The sequence below is a fragment of the Homo sapiens genome, chromosome 2 (genome assembly GCF_000001405.40).
Source record: "Homo sapiens chromosome 2, GRCh38.p14 Primary Assembly".
Lineage (NCBI taxonomy): Eukaryota > Metazoa > Chordata > Mammalia > Primates > Hominidae > Homo > Homo sapiens.
The window spans coordinates 218,975,399-218,989,386 of NC_000002.12; the positions used below are offsets into that span (position 1 = coordinate 218,975,399).

The 13,988-nt window shown below is 55.6% G+C and overlaps 1 protein-coding gene and 1 long non-coding RNA gene across 4 annotated transcripts, besides 1 other annotated feature; one reads left to right on the forward strand and one right to left on the reverse strand.

Annotated features, from left to right (window-relative positions):
- Nucleotides 1-885: 885 nt before the first annotated feature.
- LINC00608 (long intergenic non-protein coding RNA 608) lies at nt 886-2,524 on the forward strand. Of its 2 annotated transcripts, none has more exons than NR_024385.1 (2): nt 886-2,000; nt 2,084-2,524. It is a non-coding gene; the product is annotated as a long intergenic non-protein coding RNA 608 (long non-coding RNA). The 2 variants fall into 2 exon arrangements; NR_015390.1 differs by having other exon boundaries at nt 886-1,524.
- Nucleotides 4,587-4,686: an enhancer, noted in NCBI's record as "active region_17137". NCBI's record gives its function as "activates an Ori minimal core promoter by ATAC-STARR-seq in GM12878 lymphoblastoid cells {active_cell/tissue: GM12878}" and the evidence as "EXISTENCE:reporter gene assay evidence [ECO:0000049][PMID:35858748]".
- On the reverse strand, nt 5,689-9,786 carry FEV (FEV transcription factor, ETS family member). 2 transcript variants are annotated; one of them, NM_017521.3, is made up of 3 exons: nt 9,626-9,786; nt 8,833-8,907; nt 5,689-6,858 (listed from the first exon to the last, which is right to left on the reverse strand). In NM_017521.3, the coding sequence occupies exons 1-3, from the start codon at nt 9,675-9,677 to the stop codon at nt 6,269-6,271; spliced, it is 717 nt and encodes a 238-aa protein (NP_059991.1). In that variant the 5' UTR covers nt 9,678-9,786; the 3' UTR covers nt 5,689-6,268. The 2 variants fall into 2 exon arrangements, with proteins under 2 accessions (NP_059991.1, XP_047300778.1); XM_047444822.1 differs by having other exon boundaries at nt 9,487-9,691.

Genomic DNA, 13,988 nt, shown 5'->3' on the forward strand with positions numbered 1-13,988 from the left:
AGAGTGAGACTCTATCTCTAAACAAAGAAAACAAAAGAAATAGGAAACATCACAGTCAATGGGACATTGAACCATTCACCTCTATACATGACATGCGTCATCCCAAGATGGAGGAGTGTCATGGAGAAATCCTGCTGACCAAACAAAAGTAGGAAATGCCACTCAAGTCAATATATAATCAGAGCCCCACCCCACCTCAGAGTACAGTGATCTTCTCCAAGCCTGCAGCGCCTCAGTTAGGAAAGTGAAAGCTTGCAAAAGGCATTGGGGCAACAAAATAGTCTCTATTTCTTATCAGGGACAAAATGTACTTCCTTATCAAACAGAGACCTAACCAAGGACACTCATAAGGCAAGCTGTCAGTTTGTCCTTTATAACCAATTGTAGGCGGTGTGCACCTGTACTGGGCAAGCAGCAGGTCATGTTTACATGAGGAAGAAGCTATCCAGGAAGGCCAGTAAGAGGGGATCTAGTGGGATGGTAAGGATTTCAGTTGTCAGGTCATGGGCTGGCCCAGCCACTTCACTTCTCCAAGCCTTGGTTCCCTCATTTGAAAACAGAGATAACCATCCCCATCTGGTAAGGTTGTAGCCAGGTCAAAGGAAATACCACCTGTAAAACATTAGCATAGGGCAGAGCCTGGCAGAGTCATGTTCAATGAGTGGTAAGGCATACTTTTATCATCAGCAGATCCACTTGACATGGATTATAAATAGCTAAAGAAACAAGTTCATTTTGGTGCATTTCAAAGACATATTAAAGGAAAGGTGGAGGCCAGAAGAGCAGAAGGCTCTGAGAAAAGTGCATCACAGTGGCCCATTATGATGTCTGTCTATGGTCACGTGAGCTGGCATATGAGAGTGCTCTGTGAGCCTCAGTGCCTTCAGTGGCATCATTGCACTGTGACTGTGCAGGTCCCAAACAGTATGGACATGAATGTCCTCAAGCTGCATGTTAGCAGGGCTTCTAATTCCATCTGCAAGTGATAGTGTGTGGAGCTTAGTTGCACAGAGCGCATGTTACTGGAGGAGATATGGGTCTGTGTCATCCTGCATGGGAATGATCCTAAAAACAAAGTGATCAGTGACTGCTCAGGACTGTGGAAAGGTCACTTGGAGCAGTGGGAAAAGGTCTGGCAGAGGAATAAGAAGATACAGGTCTTAGAACAAGCCCTGGGACTTCAACCAAGTCATTTAACATCTGGGGCCTTCGTTTATTTATCCTCCCAGCAGATAAAGCAATACCTGCCCTGTCTTCCTAACCTTGGAGGGGTCAAAAAAGTGATGGGTGTGAAAGCATTTTGTAAACTGTAGTGCAAGCATACGGCAGGGGAGTGAACCATACTTTCACTAGCGACTTGAATGAGGTGATAAAGAAAAGGCTCAGAACTTCAGAAAATGCAAGAGGGGCTTGACCCTGGATTGGCAGAGGAAAGCAATGGTGGGATCGATACCTTGGAGAGCCAAGGACCAAGGGGTTAAGGGTCCATGAGGACAGGCCTGGATCATCAGGAAGCTGAGTGTGGTAAGACTGTGGCTTCTTCAGGGATTGGGTGGAGTACAGTCCTGCCAAGACCACAGTAACTCAGGGCTTGGAGACATCACAAAGGCAGGGGCTCCTAGAGCTGAGATAATCTGGAGAAGAGGATACCCATCTACTGCATTCTGAGATTGGGTTCGACCTGTAGGTCATCTTGGATAGACGTTTTCCAGCTCTTCTTTTTTTTTTTTTTTGGAACAGAGAGAACCTAATTGACCCTTAAAGTTCCACAGAGCAGAGTTTGCAAATCTCTGGTTCAGCCTTATTATTTAAATGAGAGGAGAATGAAATCCCAGAAAAGAGATGTGATTATGTGAAGGTCACACAGCAAGTTAGTTGCCAAGCTGCAACTGGAACTCAGAATTTCTGGTTCCCAGTTCTATATCTTAGCCTCCCAAACTGGCTATGTGGACAGGAAAGAACAGAGTAATGGGGTGAGCTTTAAGGATGCAATTTCATAGGTAAGAAGATCCCTTAATCTAACAATATCTCCCCCAGCTCCCCAACAATGACTAAAATCCCCCCTTTATTGACTCCTTCACAGGATTCCAAGAGTCTCAAGGTTAGAGAAGTCGCCTAGTCCACCTCCCCTCTCTGCTTCTCACAGAAGGGTCTGCTGAACACTCTGGTGACAGAGAACTCACCCAACATGTTCCATGGCAGAGGCTTTTCATTAGATCAAGGTGACATCTGTTTTACTGGAGCTTCCAACCACGTGTCCCAATACTGCCCTTAGTCACAGGCATCCAGGTCCTCTCTCTCAGGACAGCACTTTGAATAAATGAGGACAGCTCCCATCCCCCTTTCTCCCAGTTGACTTTCCAGAAACATCTCATATTGTTGTTGGCTTTCCACCATTTTTCCTCTTCACTTCCTGGGCCTACTACTACACTGTGTGTCCTCCACTTGGTCTCTTCCTGAAAGCAACACTGTGCACAATGTTCCTGGGGGCAGACTTATTAAACCAAGTGGACCACTTCCTTCATCTTAGGTGTCACAGCTCCATCAATGCATCCTCAAATCACAATGATTTTTCTGCACTTCACCCTACAGGTTCCTATTTAACGTTACATTGGCTAGGACATTACTCATTTACACACAGGCTCTGCTGAGCCCCATCTTTGCCAAGACTCTGACTTCTGTTGTTTCATTTAAAGATGTAAGAACAGGGCCTCACAGTTCTTCCTAAGGAATTTTACTTTGTGGCTGGGTGCGGTGGCTCACACCTGTAATTCCAGCACTTTGGGAGGCCAAGTCAGGTGGATGACTTGAGGTCAGGAGTTCGAGACCAGCCTGGCCATCATGATGAAACCCCACCTCTACTAAAAATACAAAAATTAGCCGGGTGTGGTGGCAAGCACCTATATCCCAGCTACTTGGCAGGTTGAGGCAGGAGAATCGCTTGAGCCCGGGAGGCAGAGGTTGCAGTGAGCCGAGATCATTGCACTCCAGCCTGGGCAACAGAGTGAGACTCCATCTCAAACAAACAAACAAACAAAAAACAAAAACAACACAAAACAACAACAACAAAAACCAGAAATTTTACTTTGCTACATTCAGCCCATAATTTTTAGCAACCCAGATCTTTCTGGATCCTGGCTGTATCTTCTCAGTGTGTTTCTTCTTCCTCCCAGTTTCCTGACCCCTGCAAATAGGGCTGTAAAGAGGCTCTCTGATGCTGCACCCCCTCCCTCATTGCCACCATGCAAATCACAGAGGACCCCCACCAGGCCAGACTGGCTCACCTGCTTGATGAATGCACCAGCCCACTCTCCCATCCGGGGAGGCCTGTCGGGCATAATGATGTGGAACATACTTGTTTTCTATTCAGCTACGAAAGCAGGGTATTATCAAATTTTAAAAGGCATCGGCCAGGCACTGTGGCACATACCTGTAAAACCAGGCACTTTGGGAGGCCAAAGTGGGTGGATCGCTTGAGCCCAGGAGTTCAAGACCAGCCTGGGCAACATGGCAAAACCCCGTCCCCTCTGCAAAACACACAAAAATTAGCTGGGGATGGTGGCACAGGCCTGTAGTCTCAGTTTCTCGGGAAGTTGAAGTGGAAGGATCACTTGAGCCCGAGAGGCGGAGGTTGCAGTGAGCTGAAATCCCACCACTGCACTCGGCCTGGCAGCCTGGGCAACAGAGAGAGACACTGCCTCAAAAAAAATAAATAAAAGGCATCGAGAAAAGAAAGGGAGGAAGGGAGGATTTTGACAAAAAATTATCAATAGTAACAGTGGCGTCTGTGTAACAGGACTATAGGTTTGGCTTTTTTATTTATTTATTTATTTATTTTTTTGATGGAATCTTGCTCTGTCGCCCAGGCTGGAGTGCAGTGGTGCGATCTCGGCTCACTGCAACCTCTGCCTCCCGGTTCAAGCGATTCTCCTGCCTCAGCCTCCCAAGTAGCTGGGACTACAGGCGCCCGCCACCACGCTCGGCTAATTTTTTGTATTCTTAGTAGAGACGGGGTTTCACTGTGTTAGCCAGGAGGGTCTCGATCTCCTGACCTCCTGATCCGCCTGCCTCGGCCTCCCAAAGTGCTGAGATTACAGGCGTGAGCCACCGCGCCTGGCCCCTTCATGCGTTTTTACACGCTTCATCCAACCAATAGTTCATGGAGGCCTTAGGTGTGTGTTTCCAAATTTTCTATGCTGAGTGTGTGTTCTTTGGAAAACCAGAAAAAATAAAGCGAAAAATAAAATGAAAATGAATAAAGACTCTTTCCCTGGCAAAATTCTTTGGGAAGGGGCGTCAGGCCCACCCCACACCCCCAACTGCTCAGCCTCCCGCCTGCATTGCCCCTTCCTGTGCCCAAGAAGAGGTGTGCGCGTGGAAAAGAATAGCCAGGACAGAGGGGGAAAGGAGAGCCAGGGGCTTGCCTTGAGGAGCAGTTGCCTTGAGGTTGGGGACTGTCCCTTTAGGCACCTTCCCCAGTGTTGTTTTCCTCTAAGCGAAGGCGTTTAAAAACGAATAGAACTTAAGGGCAGTGGCCCTGGTGGGAGGGCGCAGTATTCAGAAGGGCCTCTAGGTGGTGAGGAAAGGGGCCCAGCCAGGAGAATAATCCACTCGACCCGCTTCCCAGGCTTCCAGAGGTCAGACCTGGGATGCAGCGTTCCCCTTTTCACCCTCCTCTCTGAGGGCCAAAGGAGACCTGGAGACGACTGGGTCCTGCAGTCCTCAGTCTGGCCAGGCACTTGCGGTTTGCACTGCGCGGCGCACAAAATCCTCCCCGGCTTAGGTACAAAGCTCTCCCCAGCGTACCCTCCTCCGACCAGCAGAGGGCGCGCACCGCCCGCGAGAAGGAGGTGCAGGAGCTAGACTCCGAGGGGAGGCTGCGAGCCGCAAGCGCAGGAGCCGGGTGGGAGAGAGACCCCTTCTTCTGCAAATGAGGAGGCCGAGCAGAAGAAAGACGGCGACAGATGTTGGGGGGAGGGGACGGTTTGTGAGGGATAGGGAGAGAAAGTCTAAGTGAGAGCAGGACGAGGAGGGGAGGGTGGTTGGGGAAGGGGATGAAATAAAGTGGCTGAGGGAAGGCTGAGGTGGGGTGAAGCTCCGCCAGGAGGGATGAAGGTCGGGATGAGGTGAGGGGCGGGTGGAAGGGTGGGTGAGATGAGGGGGTGGGGTGCGCGTGCGTATTGGGATAAGATGGGGTGAGGGGCGGGTGGAAGGATGGGCGAGAGGGGGAAGATGTGATGTGGGTGCCTGTTAGGATGGGGTGGGGTGAGGGGCGGGTGGAAGGGTGGGTGAGATGGGGAGGGTTGGGTGGGGTGGGAGTGGGGGTTGGGTGCCTACTGGGATGGGGTGGGGTGAGGGTTGGGTGGAAGGGTGGGTGAGATGGGGAGGGTGGGGTGCGGGTGTCTGCTGGGACGGAAGTAGGGATAGAGTGGGGTGAAGGGCAACCGGAAGGGAGTGAGGTGAGCTGGGGTCGCCTGGCAGGGTGGGTATGAGGCAAGGCGGCTCCCTCGGGCTGAGCCCACCATCCAGGCCTCTCGCTGCCTGCGGGCGGCGCCCAAGCCCGCGCCACCCTCCTTCTCGGGACGTTTTCCTTGGCAGTTCTCTGCTCAGGCCCGAGATGAGCCTCTCCCTGCTTTCCCCTAACCACGGGTTCTGGCGCAGCAAAGAACAGAGAGAGAGGAGGCAGCGGAGAGCTCAGGAGCTTTAATGGGGCTGAAAGGGTCAGAAACACACCGGGAGTTTCTCCTGGGAGTGTGGGGACAGGAGGAAGGGGGCCGTGTGTCACGGAGGACGGTGGCTTTCACCAAACCTGCTCAGGTCCCAGGAAGGAGGACCGTGAGAGGCCTCCACGTGCTGAGGTGGGAGCAGTTCCTTGGGGAAGAGCAAAAGTGGGAAAAGATTTGGCACTCGTTAAAGAGTAGTGATATTGAATGGGGCTTCTAGGAGCCAGGCGGAAATGCACTGGAGTGGTGGGGAGACAAGAGAGGTCCACAAATCCCCTCCGGGACCTGGAGACCTAGAAGAAAAAAAGTGAAAGAGGGCGCACATCGCCCTCCTCAGGGGACTGCGGGGTGGGACAGGAGCAAATCTAGTACCAGACAAGGATTGAGGGAGCTTCGGTCCCGTCCCCCTGCTAAGTGCGGCAGGTGGAGTAAACTCTGGATTAGAGGACGGTTGACGGAGGCTCCCGGGCCCTCCCCGGGATGCCGATGGGATCGGGCGAGACTCTAGGCGTGCGGGCGAGGCCGCAGGCACCCGACCGCCCCGTCTAGTGGTAATGGCCCCCCAAGTGCGAGGCTGCGGCCACGGCCCCGAAGGGCCCGGGCGGGGGCTGCAAGCTGGGACTGGGGTAGAGCGCGGCGGTGGCGGCGGCAGCGGTGGCGGCGGGGCCCGGGCCCGGCCAGTAGGAGAAGCCGGCGGGCGCGACCCCGGCCGAGGCGGCCATGAGGTTGAGTTTGGAGAGGCCGGGGAAGGGCAGCGGGGCGAGGCCGGCGGGCAGCTTGTAGAGCGCGCCGTCCTGGGCGGCCGCGGCGGCGGCAGCAGCTGCGGCGGCGGCATGAGCGTGCGCGGGCGGCGGCTGGCAGGCCTGCGCCAGGCCCTGGAAGTCGAAGCGGTAGGCGTAGCGCTTGCCATGCACCTTGCTCATGATGTTCTTGTCGTAGTAGTAGCGCAGGGCGCGGCTCAGCTTGTCGTAGTTCATGTTGGGCTTGCTCTTGCGCTCGCCCCACCGCCGCGCCACCTCGTCCGGGTCCGTGAGCTTGAACTCGCCGTGACCGCCCTCCCACGCGATGCAGCCGGCGTTCGCGCGGTCAGCCAGCAGCTCCAGCAGAAACTGCCACAGCTGGATCTGTCCGCTGCCTGTGGGGAGGGGGGCGGTCAGCCACAGGCGGGAGCGGGGAGGCGGGAACTGGGGAAGAGTGCTGGCGGGAAACTGACCCACCCCGGCAGGAACCGGCACTGGGGGAGGAAAAGTGCAAGTCAAACTGCAGCTGCGTTCGGCGGGAGAGGCCGGCCCCGGAGGGGCTGATCAGCAGAGTGGTGTGTAGCCTTACCGCGCTTTTGCACAATGGAAATGCGGCTTCCACTGAAGAGCACGTAGCTTTCCAGATGCACGGTTTTGTGGAACTTGGGGGTTGGGGGGAAGGGGAAGCATTGCCTCCCCCCACGTGAGCGCAGCGGCGCACCAAGGCACTTGGCTTTCCAAGGCGAGCAAGGACAGATATCCGCCGCCACTCTCCATCTCAGCCGGGCGCCCTTATTTAGGGAAAAGACGCACAACCGTACAGGGCGGCCTTGGGCAGAATGATCGGACTGCCCCATCCCAGCTGGACCACATCCAGAGGTGGGAAGGGACAGGCGTGCAGCAGGACGACCCCAACCACTGCTGGACAAGGCCCAGCTAGTCCCGAGTCCCCAAAGACGTAGTTGGACAGGCTACTCCTGAGGTGGAGTGGTGGCTGGCTCCCTTGGGACACCACATCCGACAGGAGTAGGAACGAACAGTGGCCCCCTATACGTGACAGGAGGGGCAAGCTCTCATGGGCTCACTATCCTAGCCACCTTCGGGTGCGCAGGCCTCTGCGCTGGCCCTGAGAATTTGGCCTCTTATTTTCGGAACAGGCGGGATTCCCTGCCTACGAAGGTGCCATAGTTCTCGGGGCCTGATGAACAACTCTGAGGAGGGGAACGGACCGAGCAGCTGTTGTGCTTGGCTACCAACCTCCTCCTGTCTTTGTGTGATCTCCCTCCGAATTCGGTTGCTGGAGGCAGCAAGGAGGTTTTTCCAGGATATGCGAGTGGTTAGAGAGTGGGGTCCCAGAATTCCTGCTCCCCTGTCTTGGAGCCTCAAGCAGACAGGCAGAGAAAAATCCCGATACAATTACCCCCACTCCCTTTTAGAATAAAACGGATTTTCCTCAAAGTGGTCTGCTTACTGCCTCAAATATAGTCTTTTGAACCCCTCTTACTTTTTCAGCCACTGGCTTAGAATCCAGACGCTACCCTTCCCCATAATTTCAATCCCAATCCCTTCAAGCCAGCCCAGCAAAGAGCTTCCTGGTTTCTGGTCCCCAGAGTTAAGTTTTAGGGTCAGAAGCAAGGGAAGGTTTGGGTACAAAGGTGCACCTGGCACCAAAGGCGGAGCAACCTCAGCGGCTTGGATGACCGTTCCTGTTGGGCATAGTTTCCTTCTGGATAAAACAGTCGCCAACCTCGTTTTTGTGGTTTCTGTCTCTTGGTGAGATCTAGGGTAACGACTGAGATGGGGACTGTGGGGAGACGCTGCTTGAAGAGCCAGCCGTCAAAAGGGTAATTTAGCGACTACCCGTGGAGCGCTGGTGGTGAACCTGGGAATCAATTGCAATCGTCTGGCAGAGTTGGCCAGCAGAGATCAGCCGGCGTGAGTCAGCGCCGGAGGGTGAAGCAGGTGGCAGTAGCCAGGGTCTAGTGATTGGGAAGCCCGCTGTGTTTGGGGAGTAATTCCCCCGGTTCCATTGCCGGCTGGTGCTGCGGCCTTGAGCTCCTACTACCAGCAGGGAAAGGACGCTAAGTGTCCCAGCCCCTGCCCCAAAGCCTGGAAAACCATACACAGCAGCAAAAGGGCCTGGGGCTGGGATCCTCTCCATCTGCCTTGGCCTGCAACTCTTTTCCTGGTGCTCAGGAGATGCAGGAGCCAAAAACCAAGTGACTGTCTTCCCAAGGCCTCCGCACAACCAGGCCAGGACTCCGGGCTTCAGTGTGAACCCTGGGTCCACACTGCTCCCACCTACTGTCCGCCTGTGCCCTGACCCCAACCAACCTCGCCTCCGCCGCCCAGCGCGCCGGCCATCTCACCTTTCTGAACCGCGGGGCTCAGCGGCCCCCAGCTCGGGTTCTTCCCGTCCTTGAAGAGACCGTCTCCGACGGGATCTGCAAGCAGCAGAAGAAAAGAATCAGGAGAACCCCGGGCGGAAGTTGTGGGCTTGACAAAAGGGCCCCGGGCCAAGGCTTAAGGGGGGTGCTGTGGTCCCCAGGCGCGAGGCTGGGGGCCCGGGCCACCCGGCTCCTCCTCCCGGAGCCTGGTCCAGGCGCGCTGCGCGGAGCCCCTCCATAGAGCCCAAGTCAGGAAACGCGTCCAGGAAAAAGGAAATCCGCTTTCCGAAGGGGCCGGCTGGAGCCTTATAAAGCCGAGCGGGGAACTGCGCCAGCCGAGCTGGAGCGCGAAGAGAAGAGGAGGGTGCCTGGAGGGCCGGCCTGAAGCTCGTAGCAGGAAGGTGAGGAGCCGTGAGAGCGCAGGGGAGACGCCCGCGGACCACAGCCTTCTGGTACGGCTCGGCCACAGAGTACTCCACCACGCCAGAGACCCGTGCTTCCCCTCTCAGGCTCCTTCGGGTCCCTGAGTCCCGGCTCTTGGCCCCCAGGCTCCCAATCTGCTCATTTCAACTCCTCTAGACCCTGCACTGAAACCCAGAGCTCTCTATCTGCCTTTAGGTCTCCCCAGTGCCCTACATTACAATCGGCCCTCCATGCAACCCGAATCTCCGGACACTTCTCCTTCCCCTGGACCCCAGCACTCTCTTCCCATGCCTGAGCCTAGACTTCCCGCCCCAGGTTCCGGTGCCACCAGCCTCCGGCTGGTCCCTGGTACCTGGCAGGTACATGTTGATCAGCAGGGGCTGGGAGGCGCCGCTCTGTCTCATCGCCGCCGGGGACTGGGCGGTGGGAGATGGGGGGGACGGGGAAGGGGGGCGAGGCAGGCTTTGCGCTCGGTGGCACCGATCCCCGCCCGAAGCGACCGCGGGTGACAAGGAGGAGAAGACGGCGCCGGGTCCGGCAGGGCCTGGCGGGAGGGGGCAGCCCGGGCGTGGCGGGGGTTGCGGGGGGGTCCTGGAGAAACGCTTCCAGCTAAGGGGCCGCTTGGAACCCTCCGGCCCCCGCGCGGCCCGGGGCCGCAATTTCCGTTTTAATTAAAGCGCTGCCGCCTCGGCCCCCAGGACCCCGCCCCCGCCCCTCTTATCGTCCCATCGCAATAAAGTCTCCAACGCGCCGCGCCACAGCCAAGCGCACCCGGCAGCCCCCCGCGCCCCGCAGCCGGGGAGACGCGCGGGGGATGGGCCCGGGCCATGTGCCCTGATGGGAGCCTAGAGCGCGTGTCTTTTCCGCCTCCCTGACTCTCTGCAAACAGTGATGGGGCTGGTGTACCCGGCCCCACCTCGGACCCCAGCAGCCACAGCCCCCTCCCTAGAGCCCTTCTTCCAGTCGGCTCCCGCTCCACTCGCCGCTCACTCTCCTCCCCCTCCCTCCCTCTATCCCCACCCGGGTTCCCGTCTCCAGGCTGCGTTATCTGCATCTTCACTTTTAAATTTCCGCTTCCCTCCCTCTCGCCTGTCGCTGCGCGCCCGGCCCTGCAGCCGTTGCTCCCTTTATCTCTGCCCGCATCCCCGCTCCCTCCTCCTCTTCTCCCACTCTCTGCTCTTCCCTAGAGACCCGAACCCCTTCCCCGTCTCCTTCTTGCTTTGGCCCGTTTCCTGCCTTTCTGGGGCCCCCAAGCCTCAGGCCTGGTGCTGGGCCATCTCTCCTGGCAACTTATGATGGGTGGCCCCCTCTTCTGTCCTCCCCGCCCCCTTCTAGGTCTCTCTTTACCTCCTAGGCTTTTCTCTCCGACTCTCATCTCCCCTCCAGCCTTCTCTCTCCCTCTCATCCTTCTCCCTCCCCTCCTTTTCTCATTCATTCAGTCCCCATAAATTAGTAGTGGCTTGGACTGCTGAAGGCCTCTAAAGATGTTGAGAATCTGTCCTGGCTTTCCCTGATGGGTTCCTGAGCCCCCTGCTACTTCCCTGTACAACTATTCTGCTCCCATCCTTCCCCATCCCCTGTCCTCCCAGTCTGCCACCCACCCTCACCACTACTCCCATTCTGGCTATCCCTGAACGAGGCTGGAGAGGTGGAGGGGTTAAGACAGGGTTGTGCACTGTACAAGGCTGGAATCCACTCCAAGAAAAGGATTCCTATTTCTAACTCATGCAAAGATGTTGATGTGGTTCCCAAGTGGCCTGGAGTCTCTCTGGGTACCTATGGGGCTTCGTGGCTCTGGAGAGGCAGGCTAAGGAGGATGCTGGCTGAAGATGAGGCTCCAGCCCAGAAGCCCACCTTCTGCAGCCTTGCAGTATGGAACGGGTACTGTCAAAACTGGCATTCTCAAAGTCCTCTCTCACTGCTTGAGCCCAGGGGTGGAGGAGGCCTGGGAATGGGCAGGTCTCCTGCTAAGTGCCTGGTCCTGGGATGCCTGATTGAGGATGGCTGGAAACTCCTACTTCTGGGGTTCTACAGGGCCCATGTTCACCCTCATTTGCTGCAACTTCTGGAGTGTTCATCTTTGCTCGTGGAGGGTGCAAAGGAGCCAGGGAGAAGAGTGGGAGGCAGAGTGTGGAGGGAAAAAGAGGGATCCCAGGGCCTGGGAGGATCCTAGTGGGACAGGGATGAAGCCTTCAGGATGTGGACCTGGAATCTGGTGGGAGCAAAGACTAGAGGTTGGAATGTTCCCTGTGGACCAAACTCAGGGCTCCACAGAAGGTGAGGGCCTTGAAGTTGGGGTCAAGATCCCAATCCCTCTCCTTCTCATTCCTCTTTCTGCTTCCCCCACCCACTATGGACAGAAAACAAGGAGCAGGAGGTAAGAACAGAAAATAGCCAGGGGCAGGAGGTAAGAGCTGGGAAAGCTGGGAGGCATCAAAATTCGCCCACTTAATGCTCTCAGTGGGAGGCTAAGGTGTAAAGGAGAGGGTCCTAGTGAGGTCTACCCAAATATCCCAGCTGTGAGCTGGGCAAGGATCAACAGTATAGGCTTTATCCCTCAGTCTTACCCAGAAGTCATTTGCTGAGGGGGTGGAGCACCAGGAAATGTGTGCATGGGGGGCAGTCATCTCCACCCACCTGAGTCTTGATCTTCTCCATCCCCTCCTGCTGCAAGTACAGCTAGGGAAGCCAACAGGAGAGTCCTTGGCAGTTTCCCCTTCATCCCCTTCCTACCCTGCTGAGCGCTGGTCCCATGTGGTTCTGCAGATGGCCAGCCTGCCCAGAATGAATGGAGGACCAGAAGGTCCAGAGTCACACTTCTAGTTCCTGAAGCCATCTTGCTGATTCTTCCCAGCAACCACAGATACCCCTGTAGGGAGAGCAGCTCAGTCAAGGGCAGATTCCAGATCTCCCTTTGCTCATTGCCTGCTCCCCAAAGCAAGCAGTGGGGAAGTGGCCTGCTGGGCTCTGAAGCCAGTTTGCCTGGGTTCTAGTTTCAACTCCTGACTCTCCCATTTCCTGGTTATGTGACTTTGGGGGAAGTAACATAACCTCTGTACTGTACTTGCATCTCCTCATTTGTAAAGTGGGTATGGGCCAGCGCAGTGGCTCATGCCTGTAATCCCAGCACTTTGGGAGGCCAAGGAGGGTGATCACCTGAGGTCAGGAGTTCAAGACCAGCCTGGCCAACAAGGTGAAACCCCATCTCTACAAAAATACAAAAATTAGCCTGGCATGATGGCAGGTGCCTGTAATCCCAGTTACTCAGGGGCTAAGGTGGAAGAATTGCTTGAACCCAGGAAGTGGAGGTTGCAATGAGCTGAGATCGTGCCAACGCACTCCATCCTGGGCAACAGAGTGAGACTCTGTCTCAAAATAAAAATAAAAATAAATAAAAATAAAATGGGTATGATAGTACCTGCCATACAGAATGATGAGGTTTATATGAGATAACACATGTGAAGGGCTTAGATCAGATTCTATACATGTAGCTATTGTAAATATTGCCATTCCACAAGGGGATGGGGAGGTGCCCATGACCAGCCAGGAACCCCAGGTTCCTCTGGGGCCCACAGAAGTTTGGGGCTCTGCTGAGGCCTGTGGCTTTTAGCCACAGCTCAGTTCAGCCTCCACCTAACAGCCTGGATTTAGGGCCAAGAACTCTGTGTTCAAATCCTGGTTTTGTCACCAATTAAGTGGGTGATGTCATCAAAGTTTCTCCTTGGACCCCCAGTTTGGTAAAATAGATGGAATTGGAGAGTATTAGGAGGATTGAATGCAACAAGGGCCATGGACTCTAGAGCCCATTCGAGTGTAAAGCAAAATTTATACGCCATCCAAAGCTCACTCCCTTGGTCCCCTGACCCAACCCTAGGATCCATAGCGGGGAGGTAGGGGAAGGAGGTCCCTACATTGACTACCCCAGTGCTTTTCCATAACACCACAAACATTTGCAGGGGTTTCTCATGGAATCCTCCCAACAGCCCCTGTGAGACAGGCAGGACAGTGGCCAATAGCCCCAGTTTACAAGGTGAGGGAATTGGGTCCCAGGTGTTCTGACTTATGGTCCGGAGCTCTTCCCAAAGGAGCAGCTGCCTGACTTTGCACAGCTGAACCTCTGGGGATTTCAGGCCCAAGTCTGACTGCTCCCTGGCATTGTCCTGCTCTGCCTGGCCTGGGGCAATAATTAGAGCCACCCTTCCCCACTGATAGGTCCACTGGGGACTTGAAAACACAAGAATCCCTGAAGGACAGGATGAAGGCAGTCCCAAGAATCTTGAGAGGCTCTGTCTGTGTGGGGGTTGGGGGGCATCACCAACTGGACCGAAGAGGGAACTGGGAAAAAACCCATACTAGTGCCAGAGGCTCTAATGGCTGCCACCATACTCAGCCCTGCCATGCCTATGGGCACCTGCCACTTGCCCAGAACCCAGGCTTAGCAACTGAGGGGTGACTTCTACAGCTCACCAGTTTTCTGAAGGGTAGGGAGGGAAAGGAAGAGTGAAGAGGGGGTGGTATGGAGCAGCTGAGAGGGGGGATATGAAGATGCTTTGTAAATGCTGGAGTTCAACACCACTGCAAGGGATTGTCATTGTTCAAAGGGTCTGGGGGCTGGGCTCAGAGGGTGGAAGTCTCCCCTTTGAAGGCCCTGGGAAGCAGTGGGGTTTCCCACTAACTCCCCTCCTGCGAATGGAGGAAATGGGACAACGCAGGAG

Coding starts and splice junctions, on each gene's coding strand:
- FEV (NM_017521.3), bottom strand. CDS start 9,677: ATGAGACAGAGCGGCGCCTCCCAGCCCCTGCTGATCAACATGTACCTG. Junction 8,908..9,625: donor GATCAACATGTACCTGCCAG/GTACCAGGGACC, acceptor TGCTGCTTGCAG/ATCCCGTCGGAGACGGTCTC. Junction 6,859..8,832: donor GAGCCCCGCGGTTCAGAAAG/GTGAGATGGCCG, acceptor CCCTCCCCACAG/GCAGCGGACAGATCCAGCTG.